The sequence below is a fragment of the Homo sapiens genome, chromosome X (genome assembly GCF_000001405.40).
Source record: "Homo sapiens chromosome X, GRCh38.p14 Primary Assembly".
Classification (NCBI taxonomy): Eukaryota; Metazoa; Chordata; class Mammalia; order Primates; family Hominidae; genus Homo; species Homo sapiens.
Window position 1 is genome coordinate 118,511,248 of NC_000023.11, and position 17,563 is coordinate 118,528,810.

The 17,563-nt window shown below is 42.0% G+C and overlaps 1 protein-coding gene across 3 annotated transcripts in view, besides 2 other annotated features; it reads left to right on the top strand.

The window, feature by feature from the left end:
• Positions 1 to 17,563, top strand: part of DOCK11 (dedicator of cytokinesis 11) — a 190,333-nt gene that overhangs the window by 15,433 nt on the left and 157,337 nt on the right. The window contains exon 1 of one of the 3 annotated variants that reach the window (XM_011531276.4): positions 17,214 to 17,520. The exons of the other annotated variants lie outside the window; for them this stretch is intronic. Coding sequence (XP_011529578.1) covers positions 17,491 to 17,520 — 30 coding nt within the window. The 5' untranslated portion in view covers positions 17,214 to 17,490. Of the gene's footprint in view, positions 1 to 17,213; positions 17,521 to 17,563 lie in introns of those variants that run through there. 3 annotated transcript variants of the gene reach the window in all.
• Positions 12,933 to 12,992: an enhancer, noted in NCBI's record as "active region_29873". NCBI's record gives its function as "activates an Ori minimal core promoter by ATAC-STARR-seq in GM12878 lymphoblastoid cells {active_cell/tissue: GM12878}" and the evidence as "EXISTENCE:reporter gene assay evidence [ECO:0000049][PMID:35858748]".
• Positions 17,127 to 17,186: an enhancer, noted in NCBI's record as "active region_29874". NCBI's record gives its function as "activates an Ori minimal core promoter by ATAC-STARR-seq in GM12878 lymphoblastoid cells {active_cell/tissue: GM12878}" and the evidence as "EXISTENCE:reporter gene assay evidence [ECO:0000049][PMID:35858748]".

Below are 17,563 nucleotides of genomic sequence, written 5' to 3' on the forward strand. Positions count from 1 at the left end.
AATCTGTAGAGACAAAATACACATTCACTATCTTCACTTTTCTCCTGTTCTATTTTTTCTTTTTTTCCTCCTCAATAGGAAAACAGTTTCAATTCTCCTTATAAACCATCTCAGGGTAAATATTCAGATGTTTTCAGTGGAATTATGTTAAACCATTTTTTGAAAGTGCTTATCTACGATGAATATCTACTAATTATTAAATGTGAAAGGGTATTAACTGTAGTCCTATTTAAATCTTTTTTAGAAAATGGTGTTCATTTTCTGTAAATTGTGGGTTTATTCTCTTCAACCTGGCTTATTTGATTTTATTTTGCGATTTACTACTTTCTGCTTTGGAGTTTCTCCTTTTCTCTATTGGCTGTCAGCTGAACTTCACCGAGGCTTCTGGGTACTGTGCATTAGGTCAATGAGCTTCATGACAGAGTTGACGCCTGGGAACCCTGGAACCTCTGGGGCTGTGTTATGCAGCAGAAGGAACTAGAAAGGAGGAGGGCGTTGCTGGAGAGTGAGCTAGAGAGAGAGAAAGTTGTGCTGAGCTGTGGAAGATGGCTCCCCTGGCTGAGGGAGAAGACAGATACCGTCGTTCAGTTCATGCTCAAATCCCAAGGGAAATGTTTGTGAACTGTTGCTTGAATTGAAGAGAAGCAGAGAATCTATTTCCGCTTATTTATTTATTTATTTTTTGAGAAGGAGTCTCACTCTGTCGCCCAGGCTGGAGTGCAGTGGCACGATCTTGGCTCACTGCAACCACCGACTCCGGGGTTCAAGCAATTCTCCTGCCTCAGCCTCCCGAGTAGCTGGGACTACAGGCGCACGCCGCCATGCGTGTATTTTAGTAAAGACAGGGTTTCACCGTGTTGCCCAGGCTGGTCGCGAACTCCTGAGCTCAGACAATCTGCCTGCCTTGGCCTCCCAAAATGCTGGGATTACAGCGTGAGCCACCATGCCCTGCTCCGCTGATTTCTTTTTAACAGATCAAACCTACTTACGACAAGGAGGTAGGAGGAATGGTGGAAGGCAAGACCAGGGCTTAATCTCAAGAAACTGAAGGATTAAAAAGGGGCAAAAGGAAGGTATTTTTTTTCCATTACAAAGACCAAGAGACCAGAGATTAAAATATTAACAATATTTAATGAGTGCAGCCGTATATTTTTAGATTCAGACAGGAAGAGATCAAGTCCTTTAGAAATTGTGCTTGATAAATGAAACAGTTTTGTCTGGCACCAAAGGGGTGAGTAGATACTTATTCAGGGGCTGGAGACAGTGCATATACTGTCAACTTGCATGATGCAGGACCTCAAATCAGTTAGTTAAGGAATTGAGAAAATACTTGTATGCCATTCAGCATATAGGATAGTTGGAACATAGGGAAACTCATTCTCCAACTTCAATGGAGGTCAGAGACACATGACCATCAGACACCCATAGGGGCCAGATTTCTGTTGGGAGCCCAGGGTAGAGGGACTCAGGTGCTAGGTCTGCCTGCCCTCCTTTTTTCCATCCTATCCTCTACCAGGGTAGAAGGGGAGCCAACAGCTCATGCCTCTGCCAGACCCGTGTTTCTCAAGGCAGAAAACGCTGCTTGACAGGAATGGTGGCCATAGAGGCTGCCACTCTGAGCCCTTGTGACCTTCTCTGAGAGCAGCCCCCACTGGGACTGGCTTCTTCTTACTGACTACATTCTCTTTCTTGCAAGCTACTATCTTCCCCTTTCCACCTTCTACTATTCCCTAACTGCTTTCCCCCCATTCTGATTTTCCTCAACTGCTGCTCCTGGTGTTTGCCTCTGCACTGCCACCTTCCAGGAAACTCTTCTGTGGATCTGGCTGCCTGATCCAGCTCCTTGACTTCTCCCTTCTACCATGCCCTGGGAACCATTGTTTGACTGTGGGCACACTCCTTCTCTCCCCTTCTCATCTTTTTCTCACCTCTTCTTTCTCTCTCCTCTGTTTGGCTAAAAAGTGTGCTTTGTGGCACAGAGCCATCACTGTGTTTATTTTTTTTAAACCTTTTCTTTAGCCAAGGATGGAAAATTCCAAAGGCCTGAGCTAGTGATGGCTGGATGCCTTTTCTGGAAATCCAGTGGCCTGGGTGCCAAGGGAATGTTGTGGAGCTACACATCTGGCAAGGTTGTCCCCTAAAATGTCCTGGCTTTGGATTTAGTTCCAACTGAAAGAAGGGGAGGTTCTATCTGGAATTATGGAATCAGAATGAAGAGTTAGCTAGGTGTGGTGGCACACGCCTGTGGTTCCAGCTACTCGGGAGGCTGAAGCAGGAGGATCACTTGAACCCACTTCAAGGCCATGGTGAACTATGATTACACCATTGTACTCCAGCCTGGGTGACAGAGCGAGACCTTGTCTCAAATTTTAAAAAAAAGTGAAGAGTTTACGAAATTATGTAATTGTAACCCCAGAGCCCAGTTTATGTCACTGTTTTTTTCTGCTGGGTTTAATTGGGAAAGAGTGGCCTTTGACTTAGTAGATCTTTAAAAAGTGAAACCTTTTGCATGAGAGTCAAATAAAGTTCTTGCACCTCAGTTTAATCGATGATTTTGCTTCGTTGGGGTTACTTGGCAGAGGCCAGGCACACTTCAGAGCACCTGGAGTGGGCCTTATGGGGGAGCAGCAGCATCATTCCAGTTGTTACCAGGTGCAGTTGAGTAGGCCTACTCCACCTTCATGTTTCTTGCCCCCTCTTGGAGAAATAATGATATGGTTTGGCTGTGTACCCACCCAAAAATCTCATCTTGAATTGTAATCCCCATAATCCCCACGTCAATGGTGGGAACAAGTGGAGGTAATTGGATCATGGGGGCAGTTTTTCTGCATGCTGTTCTGGTGATAGTGAATGAGTCTCATGCATATCTGATGGTTTTTTAAACGTCTGACCTTTCCCCTGCCTGCACTCACTCCATCCTGCCACCCTGTGAAGAGGGTGCCTGCTTCTCCTTTGCCTTCTGCCTGGACTGTAAGTTTCCTGAGGCCCCCCCCATCAATGCTGAACTGTGAGTCAATTAAACCTCTTTCCTTTATAAATTACCCAGTCTCAGGCAGTTCTTTATTAGGAGTATGAAAATGGACTAATACAAATAATTTGGCCAGAGTTTTGTGCACACGTTCCTGCGGGGTGAAACAAGTCAGAGTTGACCACCTTGATGGTAAGCAAAAAGTTATTGTCTTGAAATATCTAGAAACTGTACCATTCTCCTACCTCTTGAGAGCGTGGGGGAGATTAACAATACCCAAACCCATAAAAATGCCAACTCTGTCTGCACTGGCTTCACATTGCCATAAACACCCAGATTTCCTAGAGGGGACTTCATGGCCCTTCATGTCCACCAGTAAGGACCATCCCACCTTTGAAGTTTCTTCTCCCACCACACCCTTCCTTTGCCCTGTAGTCTAGCCACATTGAACCATCACACTTTTTCAAACACATTTCTATAGTTTCTCACCTACATACCTTTGTGCATGCTGACTCCTCATCCGGGGATGCCCTTACAAGCCCTTCCCTGCTAAAGGGAATCCTATCTGTCCTTCAGGGCTTAGGTCAAATGGCCATCTTCTCCATGGCCACCATATTTGGAGCTAATTGCTCCTTCTGCAGCCTTACAGCCTCTTACTAGTTGCGTTGGCTTCCTGTGGCTGCTGTAACAAATTACCACAAATTGGGTGGCCTAAAACAAGTTTGTTCTCTAACAGATCTAGAGGCCAGACGTCTGAAATAAGTATCACTAGGCCTCACTCCTTCAGGAGATTTTAGGAAAGGATCATTTATTGCCTCTTCCAGCTCTGGTAGCTACCAGCATTCCTTGGCTTGTGGTTGCATCACTCCAATCTCTGCCTCTGTGGTCACATTGCCACCTCTTTGGTCTGTTTCAGGTCTCCCGCTGCCTCTTTCTTATCAAGATACTTGTGATGGCATTTAGAGTCCACCCCAATAATCCGGATGCGCTCTTCATCTCAAGATCCTTAATTTATTTCATTTTGTTTTGTTTTTTGAGATGGAGTTTCGCTCTTGTTGCCCAGGCTGGAGTGCAATGGTGCAATCTCGGCTTACCGCAACCTCCGCCTCTCGAGTTCAAGCGATTCTTCTGCCTCAGCCTCCCGAGTAGCTGGGATTACAGGCATGCACCACCATGCCTGGCTAATTTTGTATTTTTAGTAGAGACGGGGTTTCTTCATGTTGGTCAGGTTGGTCTCGAACTCCTGACCTCAGGTGATCCGCCCGCCTTGGCCTCCCAAAGTGCTGGGATTATAGATGTGAGCCACTGCACCCAGCCAATTTATTTCACGTCTGTAAAGACCCTTTGGCCATATATCATTTGCAGGTTCCAGGGATGAGGATGGGGGCATATCTTTTTGTGGGGGAGGCATTTTTTCAGTCTGTGTGTTCTTAGGTTTTAGAGAGGATTGATATCAGTACTTTCATTTTAGAGAGGATTGATTTCATTAGGCCTCCTAAGATAGTTGTTGATAGCTTCTCTATTGTATTAGAATGTAAATACCTTAAGGGGCTGGTAGGAGACTAGAAAGCTATTGCTTAGTAGTCAGTGCCAGAGGGCCCAGCAATTCTACTGACAATCTGTGTTACCTTGGGCAGACTGTTTGACTTTTGGGGGATCTCCTTTTGCTTATTTGTAAACATTGGAAGAATAACATGAACATCAATTGGCCTTGCAAATATGTTTATAATAGCAAAAACAAAAACCCAAAAAAGTTCACCTAAATGTTCAAAAGTAAGGATTTGGGCAAATATATATATATATACATTCTTACACCAGAAAACTGTGCAGTCCTTAAAATGACATTCTTTCTTTCTTTTTTCTTTTCTTTTCTTTTTCTTTTTTTTTTTTTTTTTGTGATGGAGTCTGCGTCTGTTATCCAGCCTGGAGTGCAGTGGCATGATCTCGACTCACTGCAAGCTCCGCCTCCCGGGTTCACGCCATTCTCCTGCCTCAGCCTCCTGAGTAGCTGGGACTACAGGCGCCCACCACCATGCCCGGCTAATTTTGTTTTGTATTTTTAGTAGAGATGGGGTTTCACCATGTTAGCCAGGATGGTTTCGATCTCCTGACCTCGTAATCTGCCCGCCTCGGCCTCCCAAAGTGCTGGGATTACAGGCGTGAGCCACTGCACCCGGCCTCCTCCTCTCCTCTCCTCCCCTCCCCTCCCCTCCCCTCCTTTTTCTTCTTTCTTTCTCTCTCCGCCTCTCTCACACTCGCTCTGTTGCCCAGGCTGGAGTGCAGCTGTGTGATCTTGGCTCACTGCATCCTTCTCCCCCTGAGTTCAAGCAATTCTCCTACCTCAGCCTCCCTAGTAGCTGGGAGTGCACTACCATGCCCAAGCTAATTTTTGTATTTTTAGTAGAGATGGGGTTTCGCCATGTTGGCCAGGCTGGTCTCGAACTCCTGACCTCAAATGATCTGTGCACCTCAGCCTCCCAAAGTGCTGGGATTACAGACGTGAGCCACCGCACCCGGCTGACATCTATATTTATTGACAGTGGCAAAAAATTTACATTATGAAATGGCATGCAAAGTATGATCCTATTTTTATAAAATAATGCATATACGATATATGTGAATATACTTACCTAATCACTCTGTGCCTCGTTTTCTTCATCTGTAAAATGTAGATAATGATAGTACTGACCTCAGAGGCTTGTTGCAAGGTTTGAGTAAAATTAGACATTGAAGCACGAGGAACAATGCCTAGCACATAGAGAAGCACTGAATAAACGTAGCTATTAGTATTATTGTTATATTCAAAACAACATTCCCAAAGGATGTTGTATGTTGATAACATATGTTTATATATAATGCGTATATGTGTGTATAATATTAAGAGTGCTAGATGGGCACACTGGCTCACACCTGTAATCCTAGTGACTCAGGAGGCTGAGGTGGGAGGATCATTTGAGCCCAGGAGTTCGAGGCTGGGCAACATAGCCAGACCCCTGTCTCTTAAAAAAAATAATAAAATTAGCTGGGCATGGTGGTGTGTGCCTGTAGTCCTAGCTACTTGTGAGTCTGAGGCAAGAGGATTGCTTAAACCCAGGAGTTTGGGGTTACAGTGAGCTATGATCGCGCCACTGCACTCCAGCGTGGGTGACAGAGTGAGACCCTGTTTTAAAAAAAAAGAAAAATAAAATAAATAAAAGAGTGCCTATCTCGGATGGTGGGATTATGTTATGAGGAAATTTTATTTTTGCTTTAAAAACATTAATTCATTTATTTTACTCTGAGCATTATTATTTTTATAAACAGAAGATGTAGAGTTCAAGATAAGAACCATACTTTCAGGATTTCTAGATTTATGTGACACGCATGTGTGTGCACACACAACATATGGTCTCTCTATAATTAGCTATTATTATTAAGATAATTTTTCCTATAATCCTGCAGCTCCTTGCCTAGTGCTTTGCGTATCTCAGATTCTCTGTCTGCTAGATCATTAAAATTAGGATGGGCTAGAGATTAGACTTTAATTCCCACTTGCATTTAATTCCTATCTTCTTAAGTATTATTCCCTGAACTTTGATTATAATGTGTTTTCTTTAAAGTGAAATTTTGAAGAATATATGTATATAGTCTTACACTAGATATTTGCCTGTACATCCACATATATCTATATATTTCATATTATCTTTATAATTTTGGGGAGGCCTAAGTGCCTACTCTGAATTTTCTGAACTGTAAATTAAAATAGCTGCTATGTTGCGTGTGAAATGTATCTCAGGTTGTTGATACTGGAGTTCTCTTTTGCTGCCATTAAGAAGATGAATCACTAGAGGGACTTAAATTTCAAGTAAAGCTAATTAATTTGCATTGAAATTGCAAGGATTTGTGGTCATGATTTTTCTGATTTTGAACATGCTGAATCTTTGTTCTTTTATTTAAAATAATCTTTATACTTCTCATGGATTTAAAAACAAATGGATGGGAGAATTACTTATGAATTATGAGCTTTGAAATGGAAGGTCTTGCCTCTGACATTTAAAACAATTAGATTATGATGCGCATCTTGGTAGGCAGGGGCTCTTTCCCTCTCTACTGTGTGCCTCTTTTTTCTGTCAGCATGCATGTCCTTGAGTTCATTTCTTTCTTCCTTCTGTTCTTCTGTCTTCTCTCTACTATATGTCTCTTTTTCTTACAAGATATATAAAAATGATTTGTTACGTTTGGTGGTCTCTGCCTGTAGTCTCAGCTACTTTAGGGAGACCAAGGCGAGAGGATTCCTTGAGCCCAGGAGTTCAAGTCCAGCCTGGGCGACATAGTGAGACCCCCATCTCTTAAAGAAATGGTTTGTTGTATTTAAACTGGGATTTGGATATTTCCTCTTTGTAACTGAAAAAGTAGGGCAAATGAAGGGATGAATAAGTGAAGCAGAGAGGATTTTTAAGGCAGTGAAACTACTCCATATACTACTGCAGTGGTGGATACATGCCATTATATATTTGTCAAACAAAACCCATAGAATGTACAGCACCTAGAGTGAATCCTAATGTATCCTATGGACTTTGGGTGTTATGATGTGTCATTGTAGGGTCATCAATTGTAACAAATGTACCACTCTGGTGCCTGATGTTGATAGTAGGGGAGGCTGAGCCTGTGTTGGGGCAGGGAGCACATGGGAACTGAACTCTATAATTTCTGCTTAATTTTGCTGGGAACCTAAAACTGCTCTGAAAAATAGTTTATTTAAAAAAGTAAGATCTATGAAATTTTTTTTTGTCAAAAAATATCCTAAGTGTAGTTCTTTTGCATTTCCGTGGACCTTTAATTTTTCTGCCTGTCAGTAGTCCTAATATTTTTTTAAAAAAACTTTTTGTCCCATCTCGATAATTTGGAAGCTTGCATTCCCAGCTCTCTTGCTGACTTGTTCGGCATAATTATGGAGACTTACAGCAAATGAGAATTGAATACTTCGAAGGCTTTGAATGAAAGGTGCCAGGTAAAAGCAAAGCAATTTTATTGTTAGAGTGGGGGATTATGAGTCAGAAATTTTAAGGTCAGCTGGGCACGGTGGCTCACGCCTGTAATCCCAGCACTTTTGGAGGCCAAGATGGGCAGATCACTTGAGGTCAGGAGTTTGAGACCAGCCTGGCCAACATGGCGAAACCCCATCTCTACTAAAAATACAAAAAAATTAGCCAGGCGTGGTGGCACACACCTGTAATCCCAGCTACTCGGGTGGTGGAGGCAGGAGAAATGCTTGAACCTGGGAGGTGGAGGTTGCAGTGAACCACTGCACTCCAGCCTGTGCAACAGAGCTTGACTCTGTCTCAAAACAGAAAAGAAATTTTAAGGTCTGCTCTTCACTGTGTGACCCTGGAGGCAAGGCGCTGATGAAATGAGTATGTGAACCACCAAAATCATGGTGAAGAGGTACCTGCTAACCAAATTCAGACTTTGGAGCAGCTGTGTTTCCTCAATGTGGCCCATATGTAAATCAAATTTGGGCAAATCACGTCATTTCACATACACTTGGGGAATCTGATTTTTGAATGAACTTTATTGGAATCCTTTGGAAAAGCAAAGCATAATTTTGTAATGCAAGTAACCATCCACTAATTTATATTTTTTTAAGGCAGGGTTTTGTGAGGTGGGATTTCAGTTTTTGTAACACACTGTCACTCCTCTGCCATTTAAAATCAGATTATACCTGGGAGAGAAGGATAACTCTGGGAAGTTGCATTAACTCCTTCAGACCTGAAGAAGGCATTTAGTCAATTATTGTTTCTGGGAACTAAATAATACCCTTGTCACTCAAAAAATTTAAAATAGCCTTTGTAAGTGGCTCCTCAGTCTCTAAGAGAACATGACTCATTCTTTCTTTGTAACTTGAAAGAAATCCAAGTGTCAGAAGACACTGGGAAATGGACTTAAGTTACACTTCTAAACATCAGTACTAGAGATCTTAAATATTAGGAAACCAATATGATATTGGTTTAAAGTTGATGGTTGGAGCCACTGTATTAGGATGAAAGGGCAAGGGATTGACTGGCAGTGCTTTCTAGAATATTCCTTGGGGAAATTCTTGCTGGCAGCATTAAGGCTCCTGAGCTCTGGCTGTACTCTGTGTACCATAGGCTGTCCTGTTCTTTTGTCCAGAAAGCCCACTCCCTGCTTTTCTAACTGCCTCATGGTTACACATGGCCTCATAATGTTTCTTCTGCCAGCTTAATTTATGGTTGCTTTCCCCTCAAGCAGCCTTTGGATCCATCTTCTGCATATAACCAGTGAAAAGAAACGGAGTATATTAGAAGATGCCTTGCATTAGTGCTGGGAGATGGATTGCATTCCTGTACTTCTTAAAACCCATGTCCTTGATAATACAAGATGGAGCTGTGGAGGGTGAGGTTCTCCATGTCTGGGTTCGCCTTTGCCTTTCATTGACCTCGGTGGCTGCCAGTCAATGGAAAAATATGATCAGGGTTCACCCTATGGAATCATTGCTTAATATCATAGATGACTCATTGGAATTAGTGTTGTTAGAAAATCACTTCCAGATGTGGAGCAGAAACTTTTCCAAAAGAGAGAAATACACTCTGGAAAACTGGGTTTTATTATTTTTTTAAATGATCTTAGGGCCAGAATTAAATCTGCTTGTGCGTGGTTAGTCAACATATATTTGGAGTTCTAAGTAGTACAATCCTGTTCACTTCCTTTAGACTGACATCCACATAAGTGGGGGCTGCCTTTAGCCTGCTTCCTTATCCTCTGTCAACTTCTGCCCTCTCCACATCTCCCATCTTCTCACAGTGATGAATGGCTTGGAAGCCTTATCTACTCCCTCAGGTTCCGGTCTCTCATTCCTTATCATTACCAGCAAAATTTATTGAGCATTCCTAGATACTGTGAAGGATGGAAGAAACATCTAGTTGGAAAGCAATAGAAGTTTTGGTCATATAGCTAAGTGACTGAGAATGAGCTCTGGTGTCCACTTCTGAGTTGAAATGCCACTTTCTGGCTGTGGAATATTGGGAAACTTACTCAACCTTTTTAAGTCCCAGTTTCTTTGTTTATAAAATAGGAGTGATGGTGATAATCATACCTACCGCATAAGGTAAGCATGAGGCCTAAAGGGATAATCCATGGTCAACCCTTTGCATAGGCTAAGTGTTAGCTATTATTATTCATCAATTCACCTCCGTGTGTAGTTTTTGTATGAAGGGGGAACATGAACCATTAGTTCTAGACTGACACTCTCCAAAAAGCAACCACAGTGTTTGAATTTTGGAATTCTCTTTAAGTTTATTTCACTGCAGCAGAGAATTCACTGGCTTCTCATATTCACTACATTTTTAGTTGTGCCCTGTTAAAAGAGGGAATGTGTTGTCATCTCCTTGGAAGCACCACATGACAGACTTTGTAGTTCACGCAATAGTCAGAAGGAAAGTATTTGTAAATAGCATACCCTGGAGCTCTTGCAAAAGCCACGTCTATTCTAATAAGGTGTTTTTGGTAAATGAAATCTTATGTTTTCCATCCTACTTATTTTTCACAACGTAACCTATTATCACATTGTATTTGAGTAGTTTTCTATTGAATATGTATTCTCCCCTCCCTCCATCTCAAATGTAACATATCAATAAGTGTGTTTCTATACTAGAATGTGGTAAAAAAAACATTTCTAAAACTTGAAAACTGCACTAGAAGAAGAAAATATCATAACCATTCCTATTACATAGAGATTTACATTAATATCTTTACTCTTTAAAGCATTGAAAATGTTTGGGAATTCACAAAACTGCTGCAGAATCTGCTGTAGTGGTTAAGAGCATGCACTTGGCCAGGCTCATTCCTGTAATCCCAGCACTTGGGGAGGCTGAGGCAGGCAGATCACTTGAGGCCAGGAGTTTGAGAACAGCCCTGCCAACAAAGCAAAACCCCGTCTCTACTAAAAATACAAAAATTTAGCTGGGTGTGGTGGCGGGCACCTGTAGTCCCAGCTACTCAGGAAGCTGAGGCAGGAGAATTGCTTGAACCCAGGGGGCGGAGGTTGCAATGAGTGATATTGCACCACTGCACTCCAGCCTGGGGTCAGAGTGAGACTTTGTCTAAAAAAAAAAAGCATGCACTCCAGAGTTAAATAGAGCCTGGCTTTGAATCCTGACTATACTGGTTTTCTGTTGCTGCATAGCAAATTACCACATACTTAGCAGCTTAAAATAACACACTTATTATTTCACAGTCAGAAGTGTAGGCATGGCTCAGCTGGATTCTCTGCTCAGGGTTTTACAGGTGTTGGCAGGACTGCATTCTTATCCAGAAGCTCAGAGCTTTTCCAAGCTCATTCAAGATAGCACAATTTGGTTCCTTGAAGTAGTTGAAATGGTCCCATTCAGCTGGGGGTTGCTGTCACCTCCTAGAGGACATCCTCAGGTCCTGGACAGATAGGCCTCTCATCATATGGCAGTTTACTTCTTTAAATCCAGCAGGTGTATCTCTCTCTTCAGGATGGGCCCAGTTCCTCTTCTAGAGATCACTTGATTAGGTCGGGCCCACCTGGAATCCTCTCTGTTTTGATTAACTCACAGTCAGTTGATTCCTGACCTAATCAGGGTAGGGATATCTCTCAATATTCACAGGTCCCGCTTACATTCAAGAGGAGAATTAAACAGGGTGAGTAGACCAGGAGGCAAGAATTCTAGGGGCATCTCAGAATTTGGCGTACTACGCTGACTCTATTTGCTCACTTGGGCAAGTTTCTGACCTCTCTTAATCTGTTTTCCCATTGATAAAATGTGAGTAGTGATAGTATTCTCTACCTCATACAGTCATTGCTAAAATTAAATGAGGTAACGCATGTAATGCATTTCGCATAGTACCTGGTGCTTAGCAAGCTTTCAATAAATGTTAGAAGCATAATAGAGAAGAGTTACATTTCTTCCTCCTGTCCTACATTTTCTTTCATTTCCCCACCCTCATAATGAAATGGCTTTGAGGGTAGGACATATGGTCACATGCTAAAGAAGTTGAGTTTTTGCCCTTAGGATTTGAATTAAATACAAAAAAGAACTTACTGAGCATAAAGGTTGTTTAACATTGAAATTTCTAAGCCATTTGTATGTCTAGGTGGAGACCTTTCTAGAAATATCCTTCTCATTGGATTCTTGGTTAAATGAATGCATGTGCAGCAGGCAGTTCATGGGGTTTTAGGTGTGCTTCCTAGGTAAGAAGATTTTAGGTTATTTACTCTGCTTATGAAAAGACAGTTTGGTAGGTTGGTGATCTGTAATTGTCAATACCTTTCAAAAACAAATCAGTACTTTGTAGAGCGAGAAATTTCAGTTTACAGGACCTGCACTGTGCACTGTGTTTCTCACGTTTAGTAAGGATATTCAACAGTTCAGCCTCACGATAGTCCTGAAATTTGGACTGAGTTTATTCACATAAGCTACTGAGACACAGCCATTTCTAGAGGATTTGAGTATAGTTCCGGGGCTATTCCTAGAAGAAAATGAATATGTATTGCTTTTTCTCATTGCCTGTGTAAATTGATCATACTCAATAATACTTAGAAAACAAACTCCCATGTGACAAATAGTTGGTTCGAAGGCCCATTTTGCAGGGGGGACTGAAGAGAAAGGAAATAAGGGGCAGAGAGACAAGAAGGGGAGTTTGATCCTCCGAGATGGAACTGAACTTGGGTGTCACTTTTCACAATAATTACTCAAGCATTCCTCTCCATTCAGTAGTGACAAATCTGCATGTTTGTCTTCTATGTGAGAAGTTTGGAAGTTTGAGTGTGTAGTTAAGAACCAGCCAGAAACAGAGAGCTGGTAGGGCTGAGGAATCGTATAAGCCTGTAAGATCTATGTCCTCCCCACCCTGCCTGTTTGCCCTTGCTGGGCTCACTACCACACCCAGATGAGTTTCCTTTCTGTGACTGTCATTAGTACACAAGTGCCCCACCGCATTAGCTGCCTAAAAAGGAGCCAAGTTGGGGGACGATTGATGAGTTTGTGACCTCATTGAGAATACCTCAGTTCTTGTTCCTTCACCCACAGAAGGGTAAAAAGGAGGTATTAGGCGTACCTTCTCCATCCATATTTCAGGCTGTCTGTTTGCTCCCTAAAAATTCAACCCATACCTTCTTTAAAAAATAAAGTTGATTACATTAACTTTATTTGTCGGTGTCCTCTGATTTTTTTCTCAAATCAGAGGACACTAACAGGAGAGTAAAAAGGCAACCCACAGAATGGGCAAAAGTATTTGTAAAGCATATATCTGATAAGAGATTAATGTCCAGAATAGATAAAGAACTCCTATAATGCAACAACAACAACAAACTTGATTTAAGTCAGGCAAAGGACTTAAATAGACATTTCTTTGAAGATGATAAACAAATGGCCAATAAGCACGGGAAAAGATACTCAAAACCATTAGTCATCAGGGAAATACAAATGAAAACCACAACGAGATACCACCTCACACCTGTTCTGATGGTTGTTATTCAAAAAACTGGAAAATAAGTGTTGAGGAACACGGGCGGGGCGGACCTGGAACCCTTGTGCATTGCTGGTGGGTAATGTAAAATGGTACAACCACTATGGAAAACAGTTAAGTGGTTCCTCAGAAAGTTAAATATAGAATTACCATATAATAGACTGGGAGAGGTGGCTCACACCTGTAATGCCAGCATTTTGGGAGAGGCAGGCAGATCACATGAGGTCAGGAGTTTGAGACAAGCCTGGCCAACATGGTAAAACCCCATCTCTACTAAAAAATATGAAAATTAGCTGGGCGTGGTGGCGTGTGCCTGTAATCTCAGCTACTCAGGAGGCTGAGGCAGGAGAATCACTTGAACCCAGGAGGCGGAGGTTGCAGTGAGCCAAAATAGCGCCACTGCACTCCAGTCTGGGTGACAGAGCGAGACTCTGTCTCAAAAAAAAAAAAAAGTATTACCATATAACCCAGCAATTCTATTAGGTGGAATTGGGAAATTCTCCCCAAAAGAATTGAAGGAAGGGACTCAGATACTTGTTTCACACCACTGTTCATAGCAGCATTGTTCACAATTGTCAAAAGGTGGAAACAGCCCAGTGTCCCTCAGCAGATGACCAATGGAATATTATTCAGCCTTAAAAAGGAAGGAAATTATGACACATGCTACAATATGCATGAAGCTTGAGGACATTATACTAAGTGAAAGAAGCCAGTCACAGAAAGACAAATTTTATATGATTCCACATATATGAGGTACCTAGAATAGGCAAGTACATAGAGACAGAAAATAGAATAAAGGTTACCAGGGATGGGCGGGGGCGGTGTGGAGGAAGTGCAGAGTTGAATGCGTACAGAGTTTCTCTTTGGGATGATGAGGAAGTTTGGAAATGGGTAATGATGATGATTGCAGAGTAATGTGAATATAGTTAATGCCAAATGCAGACACTTATATAGTATATACTTAACGAAGTATATACTTTAAAATAGTTAAAATGGTAAATTTTATGTATATTTTTACCACAATAACTAAAAAAACCAAATTAAGTTGATTGTATGTTTTGGATTATACCAGCGGTACTTGTTTGTGCTAGAAAACTCTGGGGGAAAACAGAAAAGGAAAAAAAAAGAAAAAGAACGTAACACCTCCATTTGGAATACATAAATCTTTAATGTTTTGATTTGACCATGTTTCTTTTTAACTACCCTCCCCTTGTCAGCAAAAATGACAATCACTTTCTACCACTTCCCGTATAGGTGGCAAAATAGTGCCTACTTATTCCCTGTGAAATTTCCATGTCTTAATTCACAAACAGAAAAGAAAGAAGAAAGACCTGAGCAGTGAAAAACATCGCTTCCCTGCTGGGCATTCTGTTGTAAACCTATCCTTAGCAAGGCGGTAGTTCCCAGGCCATGACATCTTGGGAGCAGCTACCAAGACAAGCACAAGGACCTGGGGTCAGCAGGTCTGGCTTCCAGCTCCAGTCGTATGAAAGATATGAGCCAGGGCTTTCAAGTCTTCAGTCATTCTCACATCCCTTACTAAGCCACAGAGCAACATCACATTTAGCCATATTGAATCAAGTCCTCCTCATACCGAGCATGGCTCTTGCTTCAGAGATGTGAAGGCTGTTATCTCTTGTTTCCTCTCTCAGCTAGCTGTTCTGTCAATGGTCTGTCCCCAGGGCCCTTCAAAAGGAACTCTGGCCAAGGGTCCCTGAGGGAGAGAAAGATGCCAGAGTTTTACAAGGGCTGCCTTTGCCTGTTTGTCCGATGACTACTTGCTTACAGTCTGAACGTGAGTGCTCTCAGGTTGTGGTGTTTATGAGAAAGCAGGGGCCAGCCCCTGACCTGGCCAGAGACTGTAGTTTCTACAGTAGTGCCAGTACATTCCTGGGTTCTGGGAAACTTTACTGAGCTAGGCCCAGATTGCTCCCTAAGAGAAACCTCCCAAGGGTCAGAGGAAAGAGGAAAAGGCTCATTGATTTAACAGAGGACAGAGTGACTGATAGAGAAAACCATTAAACATTTCAATTGGCTTTTCCTTGAATTTTAGAAAGGGACTTATTTGTTTTCCCACTGGAAAATGGGATATTATTTAAATATGGGATGAAAATTACATTGGAAGGACTGGACTTAAATGGCCAGAAGTCCTTCATTGATCCAAGCAATAATCCTGTTTTGCCAGAATTCTCTCAATAGTGAAATATGTAAGCAGCAGTGAAGTAATTACACCAATCTTCCTCCTTAAACACGATGGGACTCCAAAAACATATAAGTGATGTCCTTTGAATTGTCACCCACCACAGGAGGCCACATAATCACTCCCTAATGTTTTCATTGCTCTAAAACCCAGGAATTTCCATCTGTAAGTTTATGATTCGTGTGAGATACCCAGGGCCTTTACTATATAGTTGTATTTCATGTACTGTATATACTTTTATCATTAGATGAGTGTCTGCATTTTGGTAGTAAAGGAAAACTACCATTTAAACAAAACAACTTCTACTGGTTTTATTGTGTCTCTCCAAGACTATAATTACATCTGCTTTTTTTCCCAATTGATATAGATCCAGTCATTTTACGTGAAAAGATACTCTTTCTTAGGCTGGGGCTTCACATAGCCTGTTGAAATCCTTAGAATTTTTAAACACCTTGTGTGAAAACTTAGTTAAGAATTTCCCTCTCTTACTTTTGGAGCAACAAATATTTGTTGGTGGATACATCTTGGAAATCAAAGAGGTTTTTGAACTCTGGTCCGAGGTTCCTTGTAGTCAGAAATTTCTCTTATATTACTGGGAACACCGTAACTGCTAGAAATCAACTTAATCAGCAGTATGAATCCATTTTGGAAGAAGAAAAAAATGAAAAGAGATGGAGAACATCAAAATGTTAACAGTGGTCATTTATGGATGGTGGTTTTCCAAGTGACTTATATTTTCCTCATTATATTTTTGGATTAAAAATTCTTCAACAAACATGTATTGTTTTTATAATTATACAAAACCAATACATCTTATATGATGACAAGGCAACCTGTTTATATGAAGCTAGTAAGGCAGTAGATTATAACCTTTCTTGGGCCACACACTCCTTTGAGATTCTGGGAAGCTGTGAACCCTCTCCCCAAAAAGATGTACATATAGCACCTTCCATATAATTTTAGTAGTTTCACAGATTCTGTGTAGCCCATCCAAGAATTGACTAAACCCCCAGATTAGGAACTACTTTAGGAAGTGGATAGAGTGGTACCCCAAAAGGTATTGGCTGCCAAATAAATGTAGCAGGATGCAGAGTTATATACATGTTGTTGGCATCATTGTGGAGGCATCTGATTCAGGGCACAGCCCTGACATCGGACTATGCAAATTGATTGGGACACCATTGTTATCGTAAGAGAGAGGAATTTTTCCATTCACGAAGCCTCAAGTGTACTGTTCTTCTATAGGCTGAGGCATAGGGAGCTGCCAAGGTGGAAGTCAAAACCTTGAGGGGCAGGCCTGAGAGCCCAGTTGATCCCAGGGCTTGTATCTATGTGAATGAAGCCGCCCCACCCCTGGCACCCAGTTGGGATTTTCTCCAGCAGCAGCTGCAAAGGCTGGAAGCCCCTTGGAGAAGCAGCAGAGAAATAAATGAGAAGGGGATTTGATCCAGGGCTGGGGAGTGGCGGCGGATGGCGGATGTGGTTCAAAATGACAAGGGGTGGTGGGGGAAGAGGTCCCAGTTGAACTGAAAATGAAAGCAAGACAGGAACGCACTGTCACATTGAGAGGATAGCATTTTAGCTGGAGAATGTACAGGAGAAGGTGTAGACATAGTTTTGTCTGTGTCAGACACCTTGATAGCAAACACTATAGGTAGAGGCTTCTGGAGGCAGGATTGCTCTTAGTCTAAGGTCTTATGGTAACATTTGCAGGGGATACGGGTTAGCATTACAAAATGGGGATGCTTCAGGAAGGGCGTGGGCGAGTGCTTCTTGCTATTACTTCTTGTAACCAAAGCTAGTCTAGGCTTTTGGGTATGTTCAACACTGCATGGCCTTTGGAGCACTTTTATGGGAAGAGGTAAGAAAATGTTCCTGTGGGCACATTTAGCACACAGACTAAA